Source organism: Homo sapiens, chromosome 1 (genome assembly GCF_000001405.40).
Source record: "Homo sapiens chromosome 1, GRCh38.p14 Primary Assembly".
NCBI classification, from domain to species: Eukaryota; Metazoa; Chordata; class Mammalia; order Primates; family Hominidae; genus Homo; species Homo sapiens.
The window spans coordinates 5,449,824-5,452,477 of NC_000001.11; the positions used below are offsets into that span (position 1 = coordinate 5,449,824).

Below are 2,654 nucleotides of genomic sequence, written 5' to 3' on the forward strand. Positions count from 1 at the left end.
CAGGGAGCTGCAGGGATGCCTCCCAGCTCCACCTCTAGGGAAGTCGCTCATAGGACCTCCTGCCTAAAGGAATTTCTCCTCTCTGATCCCGTGTTCTTGCAGAGAGTTGGAAGCCAGACACCCTGTGGTGTCTGCTTACAATTAATGAAATGATTTCCAAGCACAGATTGCACGAACAACAATATTGCTTCTTATAATAACATCTTCTACCAGGCTACGTTGCAATGCATCTGTTTGTGCCCACTGTTTAAATTGAACATACGCTTTTTAAAAATTCTATTTGCATTATCTTATCGAGCGATCATTCCCTGGAACATCATAAAACAAACATTAATTAGGACTCCAATTGGTGCAATCTCCTCAAAAGCTCTCAACCATACCACAGGCCATTCCATCTTTGGGACTCTCATTTTAAGAAAGTCGGTAACTCTCAGAGCCAGTATCTCCAAGGCAGATCGCAAATGCTCTTCAGTGTCTTTGGTGAAGAGAGGACCGAGAGGATGGGTACCAAGGGTGCTGAGGAATGCCCAAATATATAGACAAGACCTGGCAATGGTTAAGAACAAAACCAGCCATGTGGCAAGAGTATGGGGCGCTTGGCCATGTGACCACCTCCACACACCTGCCACCTACTTCCCAGCCTAACACACCTATGGTCTTGTGCCCAGACCTCTGTCTGGATTCAAAGAATACCCATTGTCCTGATACTCACAAGGTGATGTCTAGTCCCCTCAGCCAAGGGACACTGGAAGGAGCACAAGTTTGAGAGTCAGATAGCTGGAGACTTCTCTGACCATCTGTTTCTTCATCTGTAAGAGTAATCAGGAATTTCATGGAGCGACCACCTCAGCCTGGTTTGCCCAGCAGTTCCTGGCTCGCCTGTTTGCAGCCAGTTCTCCCAATACGTCTCAGCCCCCATAAATGACAACACAAAAATGGGGGCTAGCCCCCATAAATGACAACACAAATCCGCCAACTTCTCTGGAGTCTCTGGGAGTGCATCAGAGTCACTTGTTCAATGCCACTGAAGAATTCAGATAAACGCAAACGGACCATCTTCAGAGCGTGCTGCGGGGCACATTTCTTTGGCAGATGAGCTCATGTTGACCTGGGATCATTGTAAAGGATTGCTGAGGGCACAGCATGGGGGTGTTGGGGAGGGAAAATGACACCTGATCCCAACCTGCCCCGAGGGTCAGACAGCACAGCCCAGGGGCAGCATGTGCGCCTGGGCCAGAAGAAAAGCCTCAGGTTTCCAGAAGACACCAAGGACAGTTAGGAGAACAGGGGTCCAGGCCCAGCAGCTCCTTTGCCCGTGGGTGATGCAATCCTACTGAGACAGCCAGGTCTAAAGGGGTCCCCGGAGAACCTCCAACCAGCCTGTGTGCTGGGCAGAGTGCATGCCGTTTGCAGTGGGGAGCAGCCTGGCCTCTCCTGTTCGGGGTTTGTCACTGGAGATTCAATCTGTGAGGCGGGAAGCCAGCTAGCAGGACCCTTGCTTTGCTGGGACTCCCTGTTTCCTTTTTTTTCCTTTTCACCCAGTACATTCCATGTTTCTCACCCTTCAAAGTGTCTGCAAGCTAATCTTTCCTGGTGTGTGACAAGGACCCTAAGGGGAAAGCCCTACAACACTAGGTGGACGGCTTTCATGGGGACTGGGGTCTGAGCTGAGAGGCCACTTTTCAGTGAATCTCCTGATATTTAAACCTAAACCTACCACTTTGGATGACCCTGGCCACACACTCCGCCCTTGCTTTCTTTACCCATGAGTCCCTACAAAACCCGAGTTCTTTAAAATGTGTATTTTTACTTGAAGGATGCTTGGCTGTTCCGTGGATGCATTTCAGATAGGAGTGGGCGGTGGGGGGCTTTCTGCGGCCCCTCAGCCCTGCCTTCCTTCCCTGCTGCCTGTGCCTGGTGTCAGAGTGAGACAGCGAGTTTAAAGGAGCCCCCGGAGAACCTGTGACCGGCCTGCACACTGGGAGGAGCGCACACTGGGGTGGAACCTCCGGAAGTTCGAGCCATTTGCGACAGGAGGAGCCAAGCCCCTCCTCTTCCTGGGTAGCACCTGGGATTCAATCTGCGAGGCGGAACCAGCTAGCAGGACTCTGGCTTTGCTGAGACTCCCTCTTTCCCTTGTTTTTACTTTTTGCACAATAAATTCCATTTTTATCACCCTTTAATGTGTCTGTGAGCCTAATATTTAACAGCTATGTGACAAGAACCTGGCTTTTACCTGAACTAAGGAGAAAGTCCTACAGCAAGAGAACTATCTATAAGTCATTCTCTCTCTCTCTCCCCACCCCCCCATTGACGAAAAGGGTCAAACTGTAAAATATTTGAAGAGATTTATTCTGAGCCAAATATAAGTGACCACGGCCTGTGACACAGCCCTCAGGAGGTCCTGGGAACAGGTGCCCAAGGTGGTCTGGGTGCTGCTTGGTTTTATACATTTTAGGGAGACATGAGACTTCAATCAAATACATTTAAAAAAATACGTAGGTTTGGCCCAGAAAGGCGGGACAACTCAAAGCGGGGGCTTCCGGCTTATAGGTAGATTTTAAAATTTTCTGGTTGACAATTAGTTGAGCTTCTCTAGAGAAACTCAATAGAAAGTAATGTCTAGGTTAAGATAAAGGCTTGAGAGATGCAAG

At 49.3% G+C, this 2,654-nt stretch overlaps 2 annotated features.

The window, feature by feature from the left end:
* Nucleotides 768-1,606: an enhancer, noted in NCBI's record as "H3K4me1 hESC enhancer chr1:5510651-5511489 (GRCh37/hg19 assembly coordinates)". NCBI's record gives its function as "activates a minimal SCP1, AML or CMV promoter by ChIP-STARR-seq in primed H9 embryonic stem cells {active_cell/tissue: H9 hESC(primed)}" and the evidence as "EXISTENCE:reporter gene assay evidence [ECO:0000049][PMID:30033119]".
* Nucleotides 1,607-2,444: an enhancer, noted in NCBI's record as "H3K4me1 hESC enhancer chr1:5511490-5512327 (GRCh37/hg19 assembly coordinates)". NCBI's record gives its function as "activates a minimal SCP1, AML or CMV promoter by ChIP-STARR-seq in primed H9 embryonic stem cells {active_cell/tissue: H9 hESC(primed)}" and the evidence as "EXISTENCE:reporter gene assay evidence [ECO:0000049][PMID:30033119]".